We start from the raw sequence: 24539 nt of genomic DNA on the forward strand, positions 1-24539 counted from the left end.
CTTTCCCCCTTGGCACTGTGTCCTGTATTTGCTCAGCAGCCCACATCCTGTTCTTCCCCAAACCTTGGGGCAGACTTCCCACAGGTGAATTTGAACTCCCCAAGATTAAAATCAAGCCCGTATTCAGGAAACACTTGGGAGTCCTTGAGGTTCACCGAGAGGGAAGTTGGAAATTTTTCACTTATGTCAGTGCGTTTGCAGTTGGGCAACAGCCAGATTGTTCATATGGCAATCAATCAAACACACCTAAGTTTTTTCCACATATTAGCCATCGACTGTTAGCAAAAGCCCTCACTTCCTTTATATTGATTTATAGCAGCAGTAGAAATATACCACCCTAGAGGACACACCTCCTTTTAGCTAGGTACCTATAAATGTCCAGGATTTTCTATTCAATTGAGAAGAACCCAGCAAAATGGGGATCTCCACAGTCATCCTTGAAATGTGTCTTTTATGGGGACAAGTTCTATCTACAGGTATTACGTTTAATTATTATATTCATTAATTTCTCTCCTGCAGACCCAATCATGGCAAATTATATCTACTACTTTCCATTACAAGGGAAGTTTTATATCAAAGAGTGGGTAGCACTTTGCTGATAATTGTAATTGTTTGCAGGTATTCAGGAGGAATGGCTCTTTTTTGTTTTATTTCTGGCTGAGAAATATAAATGGTTGTAGTTAGAAAAAGCCAGTCATTAAGTCAATGTTTTCAGTAAGTCATTCAACTAAAGGAATGATTGATTTGTCTTAGAAAAATCCCTGAAGTTTAGGAAAGGTGGATGTGTATTATTAAGAGGCCCTTAAACTTTGCAACAATTGGTTAAACACACAATTTGTGTGCTATGAAAACGGGCAGAAAGGATTCCCACTGCAAATGCCCTTTATGTGGCTTCTTTCTACAGGTGTGTCTGGCTTGATGGCTAATATTTGCCGAGCAAAATCAGGTCAAGTAATTGAGCGCAGACAAGATCATTAAGATTCCAAGTTTGTCTTGGAATTCCAAGTTTCTCTGTCATGCACAGCTTTAAACAAACACTTGAAGCCCAGTCACTCAAGCATAGCTGTATGTTCTTAGAGAGTCAGATGATAAACGTGAGAGAGCCGTCGGTAGCGCACTCTGATTGCTGCATCTCAATGGCATTTTGCAGAGATACTAGAGGAACAAGTGATTCTCAGTTTGCCTATTTTGTCTCTCTCTTCCTGTCTCTCTGCCTCTCTCTCTCTCTCTTTCTCTCTTATCTATTGTGTAGTTATTATCATCTTTTCTCTCCCCTCTCTCTCCCTCTGTTTCTGTCTGTCTGTCTGTGTTTCTCTCTCTCTCTGTATCTTTCTCTTTTTCCCATCTTTTGGGCAGATATCACCTTTTCTTCCTCCTCCTCCCTCTGTTTCTGCCTCTGCCTTTCTCTCCCTGCCCCCCTCACTGTATCTTCCTGTCTTTCTCATCTATCAGGCAGTTATTACCTTTCCTCCCTCCCTCCTCCTCCTTCTCTGTTTCTCTCTCCATCTCTCTTTCTCTTTATTGGGCAGCTATTATCACCTTTCTCTCTGTCTCTGTCTCTCTTTCTCTTCAACTATTGGGCAACTATTATCACCTTTCCTCTCTCTCTCTATCTGTTTCTCTTCATCTGTCAGGCAGCTATTATCACCTTCCCTCCCCCTCTCTTTTTCTCTCTCACTCTTTCTCATCATCTATTGGGCAGCTCTTATCACTTTTCCTCCCTATTTCTCTCTCTCTCTCTCCCTTTGTTTCTATCTTCTTTCTACCTTCCTTCCATCCCTTTTTCTTTCTCTCCCTCTCTTTATTCATTTCTTTCTTCCTTCTTCTCTTTTATCTTTCCTACTGCCTTTTTTTTCTTTTATGTCATCTTTTGCTAGATTTATGAATTTCAGGATACAGGGTAAAAATCACCTAATTTTCAGGTAACTTCTGGAACTGTCACTCTCCCCCTAGGCTCAGTGGGGGAAGCTTTGAAGATTAAGGTTCATCTGGTTGGTTGCTTTCATGAAAGCAGCACCCCCAAACCCAGCCCTCCCACCCAGGTGGTAGGGAGCAGGCCCACCCCCTGTGATGAGTGTGTGGAGGGACTGGGGGCCACCAGGCCCAGGACCTCAGGGGAGTGGAGACTGGGCATCCTCATCCTGCCTCCATCAGAAGCATCTGAAACTGGGAGGCTGCGTCCTCAGCCCCAGCTCTTGTCAGTACCGAGTTCACCCTCCAGATTGTCTCTGAACCATGACATGGAATTCACATCAGCCACTGTAGACAGGGAGTGAATTGCCTCGTCTTTATCTACAAAGAAACAACAGGCAGCAGTGCTCTTGGATTGAGGACATTTGTAGTTTGCCCATGATGTTATGTGCATGCATATGGACAGACATGCACACATGTGCATGCATGCCTGTGTTTGCCATTCAGAGGTGGGAATTCATGCTCTCTGAAGTGGACCTGTATTCTCTTATTTAAATCTTCTAACATTGCTGAAGTTAGGAACAATTATTTCCACATTTCAGATGGGGAAACTGAGGCTCAGAAAGGTTATTGGCTTGTCCAAAGACAGCACTGGTGAGTGGCTGGGTTAGGGCTTGAATCTGGATCAAATTCACTAGCATTCAGATGACAGCTCTGGCCCACTGGCCCTTGCTGCTCCTTGCAGGGAACTGAGGTGATGAACTGAACTGTGGCATCTAACTCAGTGCTTGGAGCCTGACCACAGAGCTTTGCGCTGGAAGTACCGAGGTGGCAGGCACCTGTCAGCTCTGGTCTTCATGCAAACTCTTGAGAAAAACTCAGTATGCCCAGGTTTGTGCTGGGCAGGAAAGGCTGTGGTACCCACTGCTAGCCCCAGCAATGCCCCTCCTCTGCCACTTGCCTGCTGTGGATCCTCTGTGACCCTCAGTTTACTCATTTATAAATGGAGGTTATGTTCCAACCCATGCAGTATCTGGCACATAGACAGAGCCTCAGAACCATTTAGTGTTACTACTCTAGACATTTTCCTCATGTTTTATCCAAAAGCAGCTTCCTAAAAGTAATGTGAGCTCTTGGATTGGATCCTGCAACAGAAAATGAAAAACTGGTGAAATCCAGATAAAGCCTGGAGTAAACTTAGTAGGAAGGTACCAGTGTTTGTTAGCATGAGAATCACTTGAACTCAGGAGGCAGAGGTTGCCGTGAGCCGAGATTGTGCCACTGCACTCCAGCCTGGGTGACAGAGTGAGACTCTGTCTCAAAAAAAAAAATTAATAAATCATTTTCCAGAAGTGATTCTTCTCCCTTCAGGCAATTTACCACCATTCCCACAATGGCAGCTGGAGTAACCTACAGCTATGTGGTTGATTCTTGGAAGACTACAGATTGGTCTCAGTATGTGCAGAAGGGTCTATTCAAAATGTGTGGACACAGCAGAACCAGGAACAACTTCAATGTGGTGTTCCATGCTGTGGATGAGCCTTGTCAAGGCTCTGGCTGGATGAGTTCGACTGCCATGGGATTAGGCAGGATACCTGGGACCTGGCAGTGGGAATTGCATGGTGTCAGGTAGACTGTGTTTAAATGGCCGAGTTTTGAATGGAAGGCTCTCTTAGGCACATCTATCAGCTCGTTCTTGAGTGTGGGAGCAGGGATGGCATGTCAGAAAAGAGGTGGGGATGTTCTGGTACAGAGTTCCCTAGTTTGCTATCTCTGTTGAAAGAATGTTGTGGTTTCTATTGCGAGTTTCTTCTTCATTTTCAGGGATGCATAGCCACATGGTTTCAGTGGCCCCCTTCCTAAGCCATCAATATGAAGCAGGGCAGCTGGGGGAGCCCATCATGGAGCTCATATTCAGGCTGTTGAGGCAGGTGAAGATGTTCTCTGACATACGGCAAGTCCTGTCACTGGCCTGTTGGTTCCATTAGAGAAATTCAAATCTCTGAACTGTGACTGTCACTGCTCTCAGGACCCACATTTACAAAGAATCTGAAGAGCCGGGCATGGTGACACATGCCTGTAGTTCCAGCTACTCTAGGGCTGGAGGCAGGAGGCTCGCTTGAACCCAGGAATTTGAATCTAGCCTGGGCAATAGAGCAAGACTCTATCTCTAAAAATAAAATAATAATCTGATAATTTTGTCAAATGCCTTAATCCTCCTTTTACCAGGAAGTAAAAAGAAAAGGAATAATGAAAGAAAGTATGCTGGAATTGTTAATAAGAATTTAAACATAGCAGACCTTTTTGTATCACATACATTTTGGTATATAAACATCATAAAAGACAAAAGAATACCATCACATGTATTTTTTTTTTTTAGCAAAATAAGATGGTTGAAGTTCTTGTTGCAAAATATCATGTGATGAAATCCCTATCGAAGTGTGTAAGAGTACTGTATTTTATTTTTGTCCTTAGAATTGTATCATTGACCCTGGATTCTTGAATTTGAGAAATTCATCTAGGATATCATCATCTGAAGACTCATAGTCTGAGATTTCTGTTGTACAATCAATTCTACCATTATTAGTATCTGGAGTGCTATATCTTGTCTCTATATTCCTCTTCTGGTTCATCTAATTATTGCAGAAACATCTTCCCTTGTCAGTTTTCTTCTCTTTGCCATCACAAGTAGAAAATGAAAAAATTTGAATTTTTAACTGCATTCAATGAAAGCTAAAAACAGACTATGAAGAAAGTGTCTCCAATCTTAAAAAAAATCTTCTTGAAAGATAATACAATACTTTGGGCATGGAAGAATTATGACTTATTTCACTAGTTCATCTTCCTTCTAGGCAACTTCACCATTCTATCATTTTCTTACTATTTAATAATTGATGAATAATGATGCAATACTTTCTTGGATGATGAAATAGTGAAATGCTTCAAGACATAGGAAAAATAAAATCAGAAGCCAATAATGAATCTTGGATTTATAAAAGGATCTAATGGATCCATATGGTGATTACAAGATAGGATGAGTTTTATCCTTTTTTTTAAATGAATAAATACTCTCTCTGATCTTTGAAAGACCTCTAAAATATATAAAAGTTGTTAAATATCAACACTCACGAGTATAGTTAGAACTGCTCAAAAAGAAACTCAAAAGCTACAGTTGAGTCCGATGGACCTTGTCTGGCCTCACTGAATATAAAGATCCAGGGATCTCTAGATTTCCATTTGCTTCAAGATGGAATAAAATGTTTTCAGGTTATGAGTCAGAAGGAACAGAATATCTGACATTAACATATTTTCTTCTTTAGGGGTCATCTGAGTGGCTGTTGTCAATGCCAGCTATACTCAAATTTCAGACTGGACAACGAGCTTAAGCTGTCTTCTCTTGTCCAGCCCTTCTTTCCAAGCATAGATTACATCCTGTCACCATAAGCTGTAGTGTTAGGGGCCTAGTAAAGAGACATATGCTTCATTACATCTAAAATGATTGAGCTCCTCATATCCAATCCACTTGCTTTAATCCGCTATTGCAGAATTCATTTAGCAAGAACGTCGGGGACACACAAACCCAAGATTGAGCCACAGCGCCCTCTGGTGTGATTGTACGGTGAAGCTAAAGCCAATTTCTGTGACTTGTAGGAAATCATTTCTAAACAGTGTTTCTAAGACGAATTTGTGTTCTTTCCAGGTGGGTGGATCCCAAGGACTACAGACTACGGTAAGACCTTTTCTTCACTCCTCTTCCCTGGTGGGGTTGGCCAGTTCTCCTCTGCTACTGTTGGCTAGTTGAGGCTGAGCACAGCTGAGGTCACAGAGCAAACGCCTGCCTTGTCGAATGCAGGAATGCCGGGGGGACAGGAGACGTGCGTGCCAAGACCTGGGGCATGTCTCAAGTGCACACTCGGCCAATCCCAGCTGTCATTCTCCTTCCTCTTGCTCTCTGACTCTCAGTCATTTATCAGATGAGGTTAGTTTCAGTTTGGTGTGAGGAGAGATAGTTGAAAATAAAGGTCAGTACCTTTTCTTTTTTTTTCTTTTTCTTTTTTCTTTTTGAGATGGAGTCTTGCTCTGTCACCAGACTGGAGTGCAGTGGTGCAATCTCAGCTCACTGCAACCTCCGCCTCCTGGGTTCAAGCAATTCTCCTGTCTCAGCCTCCAGAGTAGCTGGGACTACAGGTGCGCACCACCACGCCCAGCTAATTTTTGTATTTTTAGTAGAGATGGGGTTTCACCATGTTGGCCAGGATGGTCTTGATCTCTTGACCTCGTGATCCACCCACCTCGGCCTCCCAAAGTGCTGGGGTTACAGGCATGAGCCACTGCGCCCGGCCTACCTTTTCTTTTCACTAATAATGACAGGTATCTTGAAGATAACTAACATCTACCAAGCACTTGTTATATACCCTGCATAAAATGATTTTCATGTATGAAATGAATTGATATATTTTTAAAAAATACTTAAAATACCACCTGGCACCTAATAAGTGCTCAACTAATGCACATAGTGAGTGCTATTATCATGAAATCTTTCCAAGAACACTTTGAGGTAAGTAATACGATTATACCCATTTTGCAGATGGGAAAACCAGGGCACAGTTAGCTAATTTGTCAATATTTCTATGTCTAAGATCATGTGTCTGGTGAGTAGCAGGGCAGAGATTTGAGGCTAGGATGGGTGCCTCCTCTTACCCCTGCCCTGGTCTTTGACTTTGGCTAAATGTCCCTGCCTCTCCAGTGAGAATGTGCAGAGAACTTTGTGCCCAAGTTTAATTTTTCAGGGCCTTCCATGTGTTCACTTAGGATGACTCTGCTCCTGGGCCCTTGGCCTTGTTGAGGTCAGTCCCTCCCCTTCCAGGACATGACTTGAGAGATCCAGAAATGGCCTGGGAAAGGCAGATTTCTGACCAACACAGAGCAAGGGAGAGGCTGAGGCAGGGAGACCGAGCACTCTCCTGGAGGGACCATTCACAGGGTGACCAGGAGGGGGCGCATTGCCCTGCTGCACCTCTAGGTTCATCTCTGATCCAGAAGAGTTGCAGATGGCATAGAAGGTAGGGTGTTTTGCTCGTAAGAGGGGCCCTTCCGAATAAGGCCTCAGGTCTGAACAGGCATCTCCATGGATTATGTCCCTGAGACTGGGGAAGGACAGAGCATGGGAAGTCCAGAATGTACTTTGGGGATACCCTGAAGATGGTCCAGCTGGCCTTTCCTCCCTCTGGGAGGAAAAGCAACCTGCCCCCTCCCTTTGCATCCCATTCCAGCCTCTCACTCTGTGACCACAAGTTTCTCATAATCTCAAACTCACCATTGAAAAGCCACACCCAGGATCTGGCTCCTACTGTCAGGACGGTGGGCTGCACCCCTCAGGACCTGTACCTATTTTCCTCACACCATCAATACAGCTTACCCCAGTGGGTGGTCTAGTGGCATCACGTCGGGCAGGAACATGGTGCTTATTGACTTCCCAGCATGGCCAGCTCCATGGTGGGAAGCAGGCTCAATTAGCCCCTCCCAGGAGAGGAGGCTGGAAAAGTAGGTCGAGGCTTGCTCTTGGACTTGATCCTGATGGGACTGGAGAGTGTACTGAAGCATTTTGAGCAAGGAATTGAATTGAATATATTTGTACTTTCTAAAGATAAAACTTGAAAACCACCTGGAGACCAGTGAATCCTCTTAGTATAGAAATGGGTGCAGAGTAAGCACTCCATCGATGCTGATTGAATCAATGAATGTGGATGGACTAGAGAAAGGAAGAGCAGACACTGAGGATTCAGCTGGGAGGAGGCCAGGTTCAAGGGGATGAAGGCTTATCCCAGTGAAATGGCAGTGGGAACGACACGGAAGGAATGACCTTGGTGATGTTAGATGTAGGATGTGAGGAGAAGGAGGAGTCGAATATGATGCCCTTATTCCCAGCATGGTTAATATGGAGCATGATGACATCCTTAATTCAAACGGAGGGAAGAGGCTGTGTTGAGTTTGGGATGATGTGGGGGGTAGGATGGCCAGGAGGCCACTGAAAATGCTGGTCTAGAGCTCAGGGCTGGGCTGTCAGGGCTGAGTCAGAACCAGAGAGGTGGATTTGGGGGTCTTCTGGAAAGTTCTCAGAGTACATGAGGTTCTCCAGGGGGAAAATACAGAATGAGAAGAGGGCAAAGAGAGAACATGGAAGAACAAGGATACTTAAGATCCTGCTGGGAGAAAGATTGTAAATAAGCAGGGTGGTGAGAGGAAGAAGGAGGAGTGAGGAGGGTAGGGATGCAAGTCAAGGGGGCCGAGAGCACCAAGATAAAAGCTTCTGGCTGTGTCACTGCAGGTCTGCCTCTGAGGCTGGTGAATGGAGGTGACCGGTGTCAGGGCCGGGTGGAGGTCCTGTACCAAGGCTAATGGGGCACTATGTGTGATGACAGCTGGGACGCCCAGGATGCAGATGTTGTCTGCAGGCAGCTCGGCTGTGGCTATTCCATGTCAGCCCTGGGCGGGGCCCACTTTGGTCAGGGCTTGGGTAACATTCCCTTGGGTGACTTGCATTGCTTGGGAAGGGAGTCCTACCTGTCAAGCTGTCCCCACAGCGGATGGTACAACCACGAATGTGGCCACAGGGAAGATGCTGGTGTCATGTGCTCAGGTAGTGTGGATATCACCTTGCTCTGTGTATCTGCAACTCTGAGTCAATATTACCACACATAAGTATGTGTGCGTACATATGTGTGTGCTCTACAGCTTACCTGCTTTGCAGTAAGTCATGTCTTAATTGATATTGGAGGGCAGGTGGTACTGGCCCTTTTCATAGACAATGAAGGTCAAGGGATCATCGGCCAGTCCTTCTAAAGCTGGATATAGTGGAGGCAGGCTTCAGTCTCACCCCCCAGAGCCTGCTGATGCAATCACCTCATGGAGTGGTTTTGATGAGCAGCATCACGACCACCCCCGGCCTGGGATACCAAATATATATCTTCCTAAGTGGCAGTTTCTCCTCCTTTAAAAGCTGACGAGGATGGAGGAACTGCTGGTCCTTAAAACATAAATGTATACCAACATCAAATTGAGGAGTGAACCAAAGCATTCTCTTTATTTGGAATTAAATGACAAATAAAAGCTACTTAATATCCTCAATGGAAAAGAGAACTTCTCCTGGACCCAACCCAGCAAATCCCAGTGTTGATTTCCTTTGTTTGCGTAGTGCCAGGAAGTGTGTGGACACCAAGGGGTCCTTTAGTTCCCAAAGAAACCTTCAAGGACACTGTCCCATGGCGTGTTCCCCAAAGAGGAGTTTGTGGTTAGAATGTTCACTTCTAGAGCAACTCTGGCATTTGCCGTATGGACTGGACTGAGCCCATGCCACCATGCATGGGATGTACCCTTGATAATCCAACCAGCAAGTGGGACTGGACTCCCCAAGGGGACATGGTCCTCCATGCAGCCACTTTGTGAGTGATTTATTTCGGCATTCTGAAAAGGTTGGTATTCTTTCGAAACCACCTTTCTTTCTAGTTGAACCATCTTATCAGGAGTATATCAGTGATGGTGAATGTTTGTCATTTGAGGGTGTGTTTTAGCTATAGATACAGCCAGTTGTCATTGACATTGGATCTTGTGACTAGGATGGGGCTATGAGTGGACTTGGTGATTTTTTGAATACAGGTCGTGGCAGCAGAGGAGGTGTGGGGAGGGTAACAGGAGCAAAGGATGCTGGTGTGGCATCCTAGCCCAGCCTGGGGCCATTTCAGTGATGGAGCGATTGGCACATAGTTGGCTTTTAGCAATGGAGGGTGCCCTTAGGCCCTGGCTTCCAGTTCTTGCTTGAGAGCTGAGGAAGCCAGGGACCAGCCCTCCCCAAGCAAGGGCTACCATCAATGAGCTCTTCCTTTTCCACCTCGCAGCTTCACTGATTCCCTCGGAGGTGCCCTTGGATCCAACTGTAGCAGAAGGTAAGGTCTATTATGGGGGAACCCTGTGGGCTCATTACCCCACTGCACCCCTAGGTTCATCTCTGATCCAGAAGAGATGCAGAAGCCATACTTCTAGCAACTCTGGCATTCAGTGTTTGGGCTGACTGAACCCAGGCTACAATGCCTGGGGTGTGCCCTTGATAATCCAACTACCAAGTGAGACTGGGCTCCCCAAGGGGGCATGGTCCTCCATGCAGCCACTTTGTGATGGTTTAGTTTTGCATTCTGGAATGGTTGGTTTTCTTTCAAAACCATCTTTCTTTCTTGTTGAACCACCTTCTCGGGAATATTTCAGTGATGGTGAATATTTGTCATTTGAGGGTGTGTTTTAGCTATAGAAACAGCCAGATATCTTTTGACATTCAATCTTGTGACTAGGATGGGGCTGTGAATAGACTGTGTGACTTGTTGAATAGAGGCTGTGGCAGCAGAAGAGGTTGGGGGAGGGTAAGTAGAGCAAAGGATGCTTGTGCGGCATCTTAGCCCAGCCTGGAGCCAGTACGGTAACACAGTGATTGGCACATGGTTGGCTTTTAGCAATGGAGGTTGCCCTTAGGATCTGTGTTTCCAGCCCTTGCTTCAGAGCTGACGAAGCCATGGACCAACCCTCCCCAAACAAGGGCTACCATCAATGAGCTCTTCCTTTCTCCACCCTGCAGGTTCTCCATTTCCCTCGGAGTCGACCCTGGAGTCAACTGTAGCAGAAGGTAACGTCTACTATGGGGGATCCCTGTGGGCTCATTACCCCACTGCACCCCTAGGTTCATCTCTGATTCAGACGAGGTGCAGAGGGCATAGAAGGTAGGGTGCTGGTGTCATGTTCTCAGGTAGTGTGGATATCACCTTGCTCTGTGTATGTGCAACTCAGAGTCAATATCACCACACATGAGCACGTGTTTGTACACGTGTGTGTGCTCTGCATTTTACTTGCTTTGCTGTAAGTGATGTCTGAATTGGTGTTTGGAGGGTAAGTAGTACTGCCCCTTTTCATAGACAATGAAGGTCAAGCGGTTATCTTCCTGTCCTTCTGAAGCTGGACGTGGTGGAGGCAGGCTTCAGTCTCAGCCCCTCAGAATCTGCTGATGGAATCACCTTGTGGACTGGTTCTGATGAGCAGCATCACGACAACCCCTGTCCTGGGGTGCCAAATATTTATCTTCCTAAGTGGCAGTTTTTCCTTTTTTAAAGGCTTTGGAGGATGGGGGAACTGCTGGTTCTTAAGACATAAAGGTATCCCAACATCAAATTGAGGAGCGAACCAAGGCATTCTCTTTACTGGGAATTAAATGACAAATAAGATACTTAACATCCTCAATGGAAAAGAGAACTTCTCCTGGACCCAACCCAGCAAATCCCTGTGCTGATTTCCTTTGTTCACATAGTGCCAGGATGTGTGCAGACACCAAGAGATTTCTTTAATTCATGAAGAAACCTGCAAGGACACTGTCCCATGGTGTGCTCCCCAAAGAGGAGTTTCTGGTGAAACTGTCTACTTCTAGAGCAACTCTGGCATTCAGTGTTTGGGCTGGACTGAACCCAGGCTACCATGCCTGGGGTGTGCCCTTGATAACCCAATCACCAAGTGGAACTGGGCTCCCCAAGGGGGCATCGTCCTCCATGCAGCCACCTTTTTGAGTGGTTTAGTTTTGCATTCTGAAATGGTTGGTTTTCTTTGGAAACCATCTTTCTTGTTGTACCACCTTCTCAGGAATATTTCAGTGATGGTGAATATTTGTCATTTGAGGGTGTGTTTGAGCTATAGAAACAGCCAGATGTCATTTGACGTCCATTCTTGTGACTAGGATGGGGCTGTGAATAGACTGTGTGACTTGTTGAATAGAGGCTGTGGCAGCAGAAGAGGTTGGGGGAGGGTAAGGAGAACAAAGGATGCTTGTGCGGCACCTTGGCCCAGCGTGGGACCAGTACAGTGACAGAGTGATTGGCACATGGTTGGCTTTTAGCAATGGAGGTTGCCTTTAGGACCTGTGTTTCCAGCCCTTGCTTCAGACCTGAGGAAGCCATGGACCAACCCTCTTCAAGCAAGGGCTACCATCAATGAGCTCTTCCTTTCTCCACCCTGCAGGTTCTCCGATTTCCTTGGAGTCAACCCTGGAGTCAACCGTAGCAGAAGGTAACGTCTACTATGGGGGAGCTCTATGGGCTCATTACCCCTCTGTACTCCTAGATTCATCTCTGACCCAGATGAGGTGTAGAGGACATAGAAAGTAGTGTGCTGGCGTCAGGTGCTCAGGTAGTGTGGATATCACCTTGTGCTGTGTATGTGCAACTCTGAGTCCATATCACCACACACGAGCACGTTTGTACACGTGTGTGTGCTCTGTAGTTTACTTGCTTTGCTGTAAGTGATGTCTTCATTGATGTTGGAGTGTGAGTGGTACCACCCCTTTTCATAGACAATGAAGGCCAAGGGATCATCTACATATCCTGAAGTTGGATGTGGTGGAGGTAGGCTTCAGTCTCAGCCCCTCAGAGCCTGCTGATGCAATCACTTTAGCAGCATCACGACCTGGCCTGGGATACCAAATATATATCTTCCTAAGTGGCAGTTTCTCCCTTTTTAAAATTTGAGGAGAGTGGGAGAACTCTTGGGACTTAAGACATAAATGTATATCAACATCAAATTGAGGAGGGAACCCAGGCATTCTCTTTACTGGAAATTAAGTGACAAATAAAAGATACTTAACATGCTCAATGGAAAAGAGAACTTCTCCTGGACCTAACCCAGCAAGTCCCAGTGCTGATTTCCTTTGTTCACATAGTGCCAGGATGTGTGCAGACACCAAGAGGTTTTTTTAATTCACAAAGAAACCTACAAGGACACTGTCCCATGGCGTGATCCCCAAAGACGAGTTTCTGGTTAAACTGTCTACTTCAAGAGCAACTCTGTCATTTGGAGTGTGGGCTGGACTGAGCCCATGCCACCATGCCTGGGGTGTGTCCTTGGTAATCCAACCACCAAGTGGGACTGGGCTCCCCAAGGGGGCATCGTCCTCCATGCAGCCACTTTGTGAGTGGTTTAGTTTTGCATTCTGGAAAGGTTGGTTTTCTTTCGAAACCACCTTTTTTTCTGGTTGAACCACCTTCTCAGAAATATTTCAGTGATGGTGAATATTTGTCATTTAAGGGTGTGTTTGAGCCATAGAAACCGCCAGATGTCTTTTGACATTCAATCTTGTGACTAGCATGGGGTTGTGAATGGACTGGGTGACTTTTTGAATAGAGGCTGTGGCAGCAGAGGACATGGGGGTAGGGTAATAAGAGTAAAGGATGCTCATGTGGCATCCTAGCCCAGTCTGGGGCCAGTACAATGACAAAGCGATTGGCACATGGTTGGCTTTTAGCAATGGATGGTGCCCTTAGGACCTGTGCTTCCAGCCCTTGCTTCAGAGCTGAGCAAGCCCTGGACCAACCCTCCCCAAGCGAGGGCTACGATCAATGAGCTCTTCCTTTCTCCACCCTGCAGGTTCTCTGATTCCCTCAGAGTCAACCCTGGAGTCAACTGTAGCAGAAGGTAACGTCTACTATGGGGGATCCCTGTAGGCTCATTACCCCCCTGCACCCCTAGGTTAATCTCTGATTCAGATGAGGTGCAGAGGGCATAGAAAGTAGGGTGCTTAGCTCCCACGAGGGGCCCTTCCACAAAAGGCCTCAGGTCTGAACAGGTATATCTTGCATCGATCATGTCTGAGACTGAGGAGGAATCAACTTGAAGACGCGTCTCCAAGGAGTTCTCAGTGGAGCCTTTTATTCTGTCTCTAGAGATTCTGTTATCTTTGCTTGTTGCTCACTCCTGTGTTCCTCACCCAGCTGTGCTCATCCGTGGCCAGCCTAGGGTTCTGGATCTCTGGCTACAGGGCCTTGAGGGTCAGGTGCCTACCTGCTAACGTAGCCAAATTGCTAGGACAGCATCCTTGCCCTTGCCCTTTCTTTAAGCCTATATTATGCCACCCTTGTTTCTTCTTAACAGAGAGAAATCACAATCCTTCAGCTCATGGGCATCAGAGCTCATGTACTTCCCCCTTGGGTATCTCCAGTGAGAAATCTGGGAGACATAGTCAATACATCCTGGGATTCTGGCAGCCTGGGCTTTGGGAAGGGAAGTCACTTCCCATTTCCCATGGGAAATCTTGGCCCTAGGAGAAGCTCAAGGACAACATTCTCACCAAGGCCTCTGCGCTGCCCAGGGTTGGCATGCAGTTGGGAATGCTGATGGTACATGCATCGGGCCCTCCTGTTCCTCAGGTCGTCTTCTTTCTTCTCCCTTCTCCCTCTGGCCCATGGGGTGAGGTCTGACTTAACCTCTTCCTCTTTCCTATGATGAAGGACACAGAAGACACTTGAAGTGAGGGTGAGACTGGCTTTATTCTGACTTAGCCATGTCCCTTCGCAAGATTCCCACATTTTCTTATTTGCAGCAGCTATAAGAGGAGAATCTGTTCCTTCCTCTTGAGTGGTTTCCCCTGAGGTCCCTGTTACATGTTAAGGACCACACCTTGGTGGGACAAGCCCTTTGGTATAACTGGTCCAGCCAGGGATGGGAGTGAGGGGGCAGAGGTATTTGGCTGATCTGCCTGTCACACAGGACTGCAGATAGGACTTACCTGGAGTTGCTCTTATCAGGAACTCTAGTGTCAGCTGGGAGTCACATTTCTTCTAGATCTGGAGACCTCACGTAGCAGCCCAGTGGAGAGCTCAGACAGAAGCTGAGTGCTGTGGCTGCAGTGGGTTAAGGGTAACTCTCAGATCACTTCCTCTCCAAGCCCCAGCACTCAGTCAGCTCCTGTAGGTGCCCTGGACAAATTCCAGGGCTCTGGAGCAATTCAAAAACGGAGATTCCAAGCCAGTACCTTACTTAAAGGGGAATATTAGAAGCATTTCTGCTAATGTGAAAAACAAGGCAAGTATGCCCTCCATCTCCACTGCTGTTCAATGTTGTACTGGAGGTAGTAGCCAATGCAATGAGAGAAGAGAAATCAATTAGAGGCCTAAGCATGGGAAAAGTTATTTTTGCATCCCTCTTCTGGAGTTCTGTATAGGTTACATGTAGGCACATCGGAATCAGAGTGAGTATGTTGGTACAGAAATATTTCCTCCCCAAGCAGCCCTTTAGAATCAAAGAACTCAATGCTAGACAGGTTTCTTGACTTTCCCAAATTTACACAGCAAGACAATATCCAGATCAGGAGTGATGGCTCCTCAGCAGATCCTAGTTTACTTTCAGCCCATGAGTGTCTTCAGAGGAGACCTAACTTTATATTTTCTGGTTTTTTTTGGGGGGGTGTGGTGGGGTTTGTTTTTCATCTTCTACAATTGGCAAAAGCAGAGACTACCACTACAAATACTGAGTCTACTGTTGTGACAGGTAATGAGTAACTTTGAATCCCTTTCTGTAGGTCATGTTGCCAACTATATCCATGGGCTTTACTGTTACTCAGGAAAAATTTTAGGGAATGGGATGGGAGGGAATGTTGTGAGTACACAGTGACCTTCTGGATCCCAGAGGTCAGCTAGAGTGAAGCTTCCTTCATTGCCCATGTTCCTGGAGGTAGGGAGAAATCAGTCAGAATATGGTGTCTCCAAGAGCCTGTGTGCTTTGGAAGCAGAGACCAGTGGGATCAGTCTCCAGTCCAGAGTGACAGCCCAGCTCCCCCATCTCCACAGCTCTGTGCTGACCCTAACAATCCTGGCCCTGAGGAAGGCTATAAGGCCAGGAATATCACGTGACAAATGTGCTCCAAACCAACCTTAGAGCTGCAGATACACATCAGAGCTCCTCCCGGGACATCTTGATGTTATCGTGCTGCTCTTCAGTGTGGGGTGTTGTGTGTCCCCTGTCTGAGGGAATCAGGCAGAGCCCATGGTCTGCTTAGAGAAGGGTCATGTGTATCTCTAGGTCCCCTCCAGGATGCAGATCAGGAGGAGCCTTTTATTCTGCTCCAGCTGAAGCTCTAAGGCTTGGGTTTGGGCCAAGCAGTCACTGTCCTCTTCCCCATGAAGAACTCTAACCTTAAGGCCTGTTAAAGCCCAGCCCAATTAGAGATTCTCTCAAAGATATCTGCCTATGGGGAAGACCCTGAATGCCCTGCAGGCCCTGAGACCTTGTGCCTCAGTAGGAATGTGCAAGAGAAATTCTGTGCCTTCCTCTAGGATCTGATTCTGGTTTGGCCCTGAGGCTGGTGAATGGAGATGGCAGGTGTCAGGGCCGAGTGGAGATCCTATACCGAGGCTCCTGGGGCACCGTGTGTGATGACAGCTGGGACACCAATGATGCCAACGTGGTCTGTAGGCAGCTGGGTTGTGGCTGGGCCATGTCAGCTCCAGGAAATGCCTGGTTTGGCCAGGGCTCAGGACCCATTGCCCTGGATGATGTGCGCTGCTCAGGACACGAATCCTACCTGTGGAGCTGCCCCCACAATGGCTGGCTCTCCCATAACTGTGGCCATGGTGAAGATGCTGGTGTTATCTGCTCAGGTAGGCATCCAGATCTCTGGAGGGTTGGGTGTGGTGGCTCATGCCTTTAATCCCCACACTTTGGGAGGATGAGGTAGGCAGATTGCTTGAGCTCAGGCGTTCAAGACCAGCTCTAGGCAAGATGGCAAACCCCATCTCTATTAAAAAAAGAAAATCACTTGGGCCCATTCTGGGGACAGACTGTATTCAGAGAATATAGTAACAGGTTTCTCACTCCAGGGCCCCCGCCCAAGTCTTTCCTGGTTATCTGGTGGCTCTGGAGTTTAGTTGGGGCAGTTGGCCTGTGGGTACAATGCCACGGTCAGCACAAATCCCCAAGCTGCGAGCAGTGCCGCAACATTGGTTTGGAGGTGACTGAGGCACCAGTGTTCAGACACAGGGTCCAGCATGCTGACATCAGAAATGATGAGCTTTTTATTCTGCTCCAGGAACATCCGCATAACTCATACCCCCATTTTCCCCGAGGCTCCTTCTCAGGGACAGCACGTTTTGGGGATCTGGTTGGTGAAGCCTTCCCTCCCCTTGAACACTGTATTACCTTGAGTGTTGTCAGCCGCTGACCCAGAGGGAAGGATGCAATTGTAAATAGTTCACTTATGATTGCTGTGAAGAGAGGCATGGAAGTGGGGTAAGGGTGGGAGGATGGCAGTGAGTCGCAAATGGTGGGCTCACGAGTGAGCTCAGCATAGGGAGCAGGGGGACCTCCTAGAGTATCACCAGGAATCCACGTCAAACCTCAGACTCATCGCAGCTCAAGCGTGGAGAGTTAGGGTCTTCATCTACTCATTGCTTAGGGTGGCTGTTTGCTGCTCCCTGGGTGTTGATACCGAGGTTGTTGTGGCCGGTCCCAGGCACCGAAGTGACCTTCATATCCCTGGAGAGTGAGCCACAGGCACAGAGAAGGCAATGCCAGGGGCTGTGGGGTCCCTGAGGGACCGAGGGCTTCACGGTGGGCACTGGCAGGGCCCACTTGGTGGGCGTGTGATGGGCATCAGCTCAGGGTGTAGATACCCCAAGTCACTTCAGCCTTAACTCTACTTGGAGTCACTGAGTGTTTGGTGTCTAATGTTGCTATTTTTTTCTCACAGCTGCCCAGCCTCAGTCAACACTCAGGCCAGGTGAGTCCCCAGAATCCTTCCTCGGGATACCCCTTCTCTTTCTGCTCAGTTACCCCTTCCCTACTCCACAGAGCCCTCCTGCTTCTCTGCAGATACTCTGGGGCATATTATTTCACCCCCAACTCTGTAACTGAGACCCTAGCATGGGGCTTCTTAACCACACATGGGATTTAGCTTCTGCCTTCTCTTCAGTCCATCTCAGCTTTCATCACACAGTTCCATGCTGTCCCAATGAACAACTCTTAGAAGTTCAGAAAGAAGCCTGCTGTTTAATGAGCTTTGGCCTCTTTATATTCAGGGCTGACACAACCTTTCTGAGAATTGAGGGTGAGACCCTCTAATGTTCTGTTGAAGGCAAGGTCAGTACAGGCTTGATACCCCCATCTCTCACTACTTGAAAAACCCCCAGATTCTGCAGGGCCACGTCTGCATTCAGAAGAGGCAGAGGCCATGCTGAGGGGAGAGAGAGGCTAAGAAATGTTTCTGGTGCCTTCACTTACCAGGAAACCTGATTTCCCCCAGGGCGGACCCCTAGTATCCCGAACATTTTAGCTGCAAGTGTCAAGTCTTGGCAGTGGTGTCAGATGAGCCAGTCAGTCCACGCGTCAGTGGATGGTGGGGGATGGGGGTGGTGAAGGTTTCCTAACTGCGAATAGGTCATCCCTCTCTCAGAGAGAGGTGGAAGGGCCTGCATGGTGTCCTTTGTCCCTGAATGAGTTCCCTGGGCAGGAGACCTGGGCAGACACATGGGGAGCAAGTGGCCAGACCTTCGAGTGGAATTGTTTTCACAGTGCTTGCCTGGTCCAGAGAACCGCTTGTTTTTTACCTTTTTCCCTTCAAGTCCAATTGTATCCTTTCTCTTTGTTGCTGTTTACAGAAAGTTGGCCTGTCAGGATATCACCACCTGTACCCACAGAAGGTAAAGAATCCTCTCAACACTCCCTGGGGCTCACTTTCTACCTCTGGATACACTTTGGATTTCATAGTTCACTTATGATTGCCATAAAGAGAGGTGGGGAAGTGGGCTAAGCGTGGGAGGGTGGCAGCAGGTGATAAACAGTTGGCTCAAGAGTCAGCTCGGCACTGGGAACAAGAGCAGGACCTCCCAGAAGATCATTAGGAATCATTAGGCTCATGATAGGATGAGGCTCAAGGTGGGCCCCTTGCTTTTTCATGTTTCTGTGGGTTGGGTAGGGAGGAAGCTGGAGTCTCTGAAAACCCAGAATTAGATGTGATATTGGAGGGTGGAGGGTGCTGGTGACCTGTCTCCTGTGGGATCCTGTTCCAAGTGGTCAGAAAAGATCCTTATCTATGGGCTCAGAACAAGCCCTGGGGGTCTCCCTAATCCTATGGGGACCTCATCCCTGCCATCTCTGGTACTCTGCCAGTCAGATCCCAGATAGGACCATGCTCCTGAATAAGGGAGGGGTCTGGGCCTGCCATCTGGAGCTGAGCAGCTCCATCCTCTGTGTACCCAACTGGGGAGTGGGGCATCCATTCCCATCACATCCACTGGGGTCACAGGTGCTTCCCCAAAAGTTGAGCATCCATAGACCTGGGCAGAGTAGGTTATCAGTGCTACTTTCACGGTGATGAAGCCTAGTCTGTGGTCATATGCAAAGGTGACTGCCTGCCTAGGTGACTTAGTTCATTAGGAAGTACCCTGAGTGTGGAACTTACCTTAGATTCTTGACCTCATGATAGGGATGGATGAAGGGTTCTTGTGTTCCCCTGTAGGATCTGAATCCAGTTTGGCCCTGAGGCTGGTGAATGGAGGCGACAGGTGTCGAGGCCGAGTGGAGGTCCTATACCGAGGCTCCTGGGGCACCGTGTGTGATGACTACTGGGACACCAATGATGCCAATGTGGTCTGCAGGCAGCTGGGCTGTGGCTGGGCCATGTCAGCCCCAGGAAATGCCCAGTTTGGCCAGGGCTCAGGACCCATTGTCCTGGATGATGTGCGCTGCTCAGGACATGAGTCCTACCTGTGGAGCTGCCCCCACAATGGCTGGCTCACCCACAACTGTGGCCATAGTGAAGACGCTGGTGTCATCTGCTCAGGTGGGCCTTCAAGAACTTGGGCTCACTCTCTTGGGGTGGAGTTTGCTCCAAAAGAAACTCCTAATTACATTCTGATCTCCTCACTCAAAGCTTCTATGTTTTCTATGTTTCTGAAGACTTGTCAGCTCTCTGCTAAGAATCCATATGTACTCACTGCCTAGTGTTCCTGTGGTCACTTAGGACAGGGGATCAAACTAAAACAACCCAGAGTTTTTCCCCTTCCTGAGGCAAGGCAAGGAAGAGGCAGAAGAGAAAAGTGCCGGCTCCCCAGGGCTCCATTTCTCCCCTGCTGAGTAGCACGGTGTGAGGGTATAATGGATGCAGCACAGACAGCAAGGCAGGGGAGGGATCCCCTCACTGCGAGGAACTCTGAACTAAAGATGCTTGGCTAAAAGTGGGTTCTCAGCTGAGACCCAGTGAGGAGGTCTGGAAATAGAGGCTCAAGGGTTAGGAGTGCAAATGGGTGTCTGTTTGTATCAGGCCTGGGTTGCGTGGGGTTGGAGTTCTTGACCTCAGCTCTTCTCAGAACGCTGCTGAGCATTGCCTGTGTTCTAGGTCTGGTGAGGGGAGGGCAGTCCCCATGAGGCCAGCCAGACATGGCCTTGTCATTGCCTGTGATTGGGGCTTGAAGATCGCACAAGGGATTTTGGCTGGAGTGGCTTCCTCAGCCTTGCTGACTCAGGAACACCTAAGATGTGCAAGGGAGTGGGTTGGTTTAGGTCAACCGGGTTACCCTGGGCAGACACAATTTGATCACCTCAGAGCTGGCAATAGTGGACAGGATCTGCCTCGACCCCTTACACGGTGCATCTCTGTGGGGATGTGCATGGCAATGTCCCTCCCTGTGTGATAGGAACTAGGATGGACTGAGTGTCAGACTCGCTCATTTCTTTCCCTCCTCGTTCCAGTTTTGCCGACTTCTGTGTAATGTTCCTGATCTGACCTTCTCTTCTCTTTCTCACAGCTCCCCAGTCCCGGCCGACACCCAGCCCAGGTAGGTCCCCAGTGTCCTTCCTCAAAATGTCCCTTCTCTTTCTGCCCAATCACCCCTTCCACACTCCACAGAGCTCTCCTGTTTCTCTGTGTGGATACTGTGGGGCATATTATTTCCACCCCCAACACCGGCTGTGTAACTGAGATCCCAGCACAGCGCTTTTTAAACACACACAGGATTGAGGAGGCCTCTGTCTTCTTTTCAACCCCTCTCAGCTTTCATGAAACAGTTTCATACTGTCCCAGTGGACAACCCTTACAGGTTCAGGAAGTGGCCCCATGTTTAATGAGCTTTGGTCCTTTTATATTCCGGACTCACATATAGTTTCTGAAAATTGAGGGTGTCACCCTCTGACCCGTTCAAGGCATCGTCAGGGCAGGCTCGATACCCCCATCCATCACTGCTGGAAACATTCCGAGATTATGATTCCGAGATTTCTATCCAGAAGAGGCAGAGTTTGTGCTCGGGCAGGGAGAGGGATAATAAAGGTTTGTGATGTCTCTGCTTAACCAGAAACCTGATTCCTGATTGTCCCCTGGGCAGCCCCTGGTTCCCCTAACATTTTACCTGGCAGTGTCCGAGCTTCAGCAATGGCGTCTGATGTCCTAGTCAGTCCATGCATCAGCAGATGTGGGATGGCATGGTGGGGGCATCCTCTAACAGATAGAAAGATACCCCAGGATTACAGAAATGGAGGGCTCAGTCTGGTCTCCAGCAGGACCTTTGTCCCTGGATGAGTTCACAGCACAGGAGACCTGGGAAGACACATGGGAAACAAATGGCAGGAACAAGAAGTGGAATTGTTGTCACGTTGATTCCTCCTCCCAGAGATCCTTTTGTTCTGTGCCTTTTCCCTTCAAGTCTAATTCTGTCTTTTCCTTTTGTTGCAATTTACAGATACTTGGCCGACCTCACATGCATCAACAGCAGGTAAATAACCCTCTCACCCCTCCCTAGGACTCACTATCTCTGGACATATTTTGTGTTTGAAACTGATAGGATGAGGCTCAATGTGGGCTTCTCTGTTTTCATGTCCCTGTGGGTTGCGTGGGAGGAAGGTGGAATCTCTGAGGAGCCAGTCCTGGGTCTGATGTTTGAGGACGGAGGGTGTTGGTGACCTGTCTCCCATGGAATCCTGTTCCAAGTGGTCAGGAAAGATCCTCATCCAGGTGCTCAGGACGAGCACTGGAGGGCTCCTTAATGCTGCTGGGACCTCATTCCTGGCCCTCAGGCCATGGGATCCAGACCTCTGAAGAGCGGGTGAAAGTGCCGGTCCCTGCACCTGTGTGGCCAAGGCCTTGCCATCACTGGCAATTTGCCAGAAGGCAGAGAGGCCCATGCAGGTGCCAATAAGCTCCTGAATATGGAGGGGGTCTAGGCCTGTCATTTGTAGCTGTGTAGCTCCATCCTGTGTTCACCCAGAGTGGGGAGTGGGGTGTCCATTCCTGTCCTCTCCTCTGGGGTCATACATGCTTACCCATAGCTTGAGCTTTTATAGACTTGAGTAGAATAGGGCATCACTTTTTCCACTATGACCAAGCTTAACCTCTGGGTGCAGCCATCTGCCATTGTGACTGCGTGCCCTGGTGACTTTGGCATTTGTATTCAAACTTGACTACTTTTCCCATTGCCCTGAGTGTTGTCCATGCCTTTTCCTTCACCTCAGAATGGAGATGGATGAAGGATTCTTGTGTTCCCCTGTAGGACCTGAATCCAGTTTGGCCCTGAGGCTGGTGAATGGAGGTGACAGGTGTCAGGGCCGAGTGGAGGTCCTATACCGAGGCTCCTGGGGCACCGTGTGTGATGATAGCTGGGACACCAGTGACGCCAATGTGGTCTGCCGGCAGCTGGGCTGTGGCTGGGCCACGTCAGCCCCAGGAAATGCCCGGTTTGGCCAGGGTTCAGGACCCATTGTCCTGGATGACGTGCGCTGCTCAGGCTATGAGTCCTACCTGTGGAGCTGCCCCCACAATGGCTGGCTCTCCCATAACTGTCAGCACAGTGAAGACGCTGGTGTCATCTGCTCAGGTGGGCCTCCAAGACCTTGGGCTCCCTCTCTTGGGGTAGATTTTGCTCAGGAAGCGAGGTCTCATTATGTTCTGATCTCCTCACTCAGAGCTTTTTCAGCCTTTCCTATATATCTGATATCTCCTTAGCTCTCTCCTAGGAAACTGCATGAGTCTTCATTGCCAGGTTTTGAGGAGGTCAGGTAGGACAACGGGCCAAAGTGAAATAAGGGTCACGCCTTTGTTCACCTACCGAGGCAGCGCAAGCAGAGGGAGAAGAGGAAAGTGCCAGGTCTTTGCCTTTTAGTGTGGCTGGAAAGGAATAGCTGGGGCTGGTTTGTTCATGAGGAAAGAGGCTGATTTGGGTCTTGGCTTTGCAGGCTGCATAGGACCATGGTGCAGGCGTCTGCTCAGCTTCTGATGAGGGCCTCGGGCTGCTTGTACTCCTAGCAGAAAGGGATGGGGAGGTGGCCTGGGCAGAGGTCACAAGGTGAGGGAGGAAGGAAGAGAGAGCAAGAGGGAGGGCTCAGACTCTTCAACCACCAGCTCTTGCTAGGAACTAAGAGAAGAACTCACCCCTGACCAGGGAGGGCACTAAGTTATTCATGCAGTGTTGGTCTCCATGACCCAGACCTGGTGCATCAGGCCTCACCTCTAAACTTGGGGATTCAGTTGCAATATAACACTTGGATGTGACAAGCCTCTAAAGTATAGCACCCTGGCTCTCCAGGGTTCCATCTTTCCCCTACTGAAAGATTTTGCAAAGGGTTACATGGATGAAGCACATATAGAGGATGGGGGAGGGACTGTCTCCCTGGGAGGAGCCCAGAACCACAGGCTCCTGCTAGGAAGCGCGGTCTTCTGCTGAGGCCCAATAAGGTGATGTCTTAATAGAGACACAAGGCTAGGAGTGCGGATGTGTGTCTGTCCCTCTCTGGCCTGAGATTTGGGGGCTGTGAGTCCTTGACCACAACTCCCTCCAGAGCACTGCAGTGTCTTGCCTGTGCACCGGTCTGGTGTGGAGTGTGCAGTCCCCATGAGGTCTGCTAGGCAAAGCATTGTTATGAACGCCTGTGGGCTGGACTGGAACATCAGAGGCAGGACTTTGGCTGGAGTGGCCTCCTCACATTTGCTAACTCAGGGACTGCTAAGACATGCAAGGGAGAGGGTAGGTTTTGTGTCAACCTGATTACTATGGGCAGACACAAGGTTAATCACCTTGGAGTTGGCAATAGTGGACAGGATCTGCCCAGACACCCTCCAAGGAGCATCTCTGTGGGGACATGCATGGCAATGCCCTCCCTCTGTGATGGGGACCTAGGGTGGACTGAAGGCATGATCTGTTTAGTTCCTTCCACCTTTGTTCCGATTTTGCCAGCTTCTGTATAGTGCATCTGATCTGACCTCCTCTTTCTCACAGCTGCCCACTCCTGGTCGACGCCCAGTCCAGGTGAGTCCCCAGTGTCCTTCCTTGGGATGTCCCTTCTCTTTCTGTATAATTATCCCTTTCTGCACTCCACAGAGCCCTCGTTCTTCTCTGAGTGAATACTACATGGCATACAATTTTCCCCTGCTCTGTAACTGAGACCCTGGAATGGCGCTTCTGAACCAGACATAGGGTTCAAGAGGCTTCTGTCTTCTGTTCCATTTATCTCAGCTTTCATGAAGCAGTTTCATACTGTCCCAGTGGCCAACCCTTAGAGGTTTAGGAAGTGGCCTCATATTTAAATAGCTTTGACCCTTTTCTATTCAGAGCTGATATGACCTTCCTGAGAATTGAGAGTGATTGCCAAAGTCTCCTCGGAAGCCAATGTCAGCTAAAGCCTTAAACATGGCTGCCGCCATGGGCAAGCAATGTCAGTGCAGGCCTGACACCTCCCTTCCTCACTCCTTCCAACACCCAGATTCTGCAGCGCTACATGTGCATCCAGAAGAGGCATAGGCCATGCTCGGGCAGGGAGAGGGATAATAAATATTTCTGGTGCCTCCACTT

The 24539-nt window shown here is 48.5% G+C and overlaps 1 protein-coding gene across 5 annotated transcripts in view; it reads left to right on the forward strand.

Moving 5' to 3' along the window:
- Positions 399–24539, forward strand: part of DMBT1 (deleted in malignant brain tumors 1) — an 82983-nt gene continuing 58842 nt past the window's right edge. For 4 of the 5 annotated variants that reach the window (NM_001377530.1, NM_007329.3, NM_001320644.2 and 1 more), the window contains exons 1-14: positions 399–476; positions 5612–5641; positions 9807–9854; positions 10535–10582; positions 11959–12006; positions 13360–13407; positions 16044–16367; positions 17456–17485; positions 18363–18404; positions 19223–19546; positions 20511–20540; positions 21438–21470; positions 22245–22568; positions 23967–23996. In NM_001377530.1, coding sequence (NP_001364459.1) covers positions 416–476; positions 5612–5641; positions 9807–9854; positions 10535–10582; positions 11959–12006; positions 13360–13407; positions 16044–16367; positions 17456–17485; positions 18363–18404; positions 19223–19546; positions 20511–20540; positions 21438–21470; positions 22245–22568; positions 23967–23996 — 1420 coding nt within the window. In that variant the 5' untranslated portion in view covers positions 399–415. The remainder of the gene's footprint in view (positions 477–5611; positions 5642–9806; positions 9855–10534; positions 10583–11958; positions 12007–13359; positions 13408–16043; positions 16368–17455; positions 17486–18362; positions 18405–19222; positions 19547–20510; positions 20541–21437; positions 21471–22244; positions 22569–23966; positions 23997–24539) is intronic. The other variant, NM_017579.3, reaches the window with a different exon arrangement.

Source organism: Homo sapiens, chromosome 10 (genome assembly GCF_000001405.40).
Source record: "Homo sapiens chromosome 10, GRCh38.p14 Primary Assembly".
Classification (NCBI taxonomy): domain Eukaryota; kingdom Metazoa; phylum Chordata; class Mammalia; order Primates; family Hominidae; genus Homo; species Homo sapiens.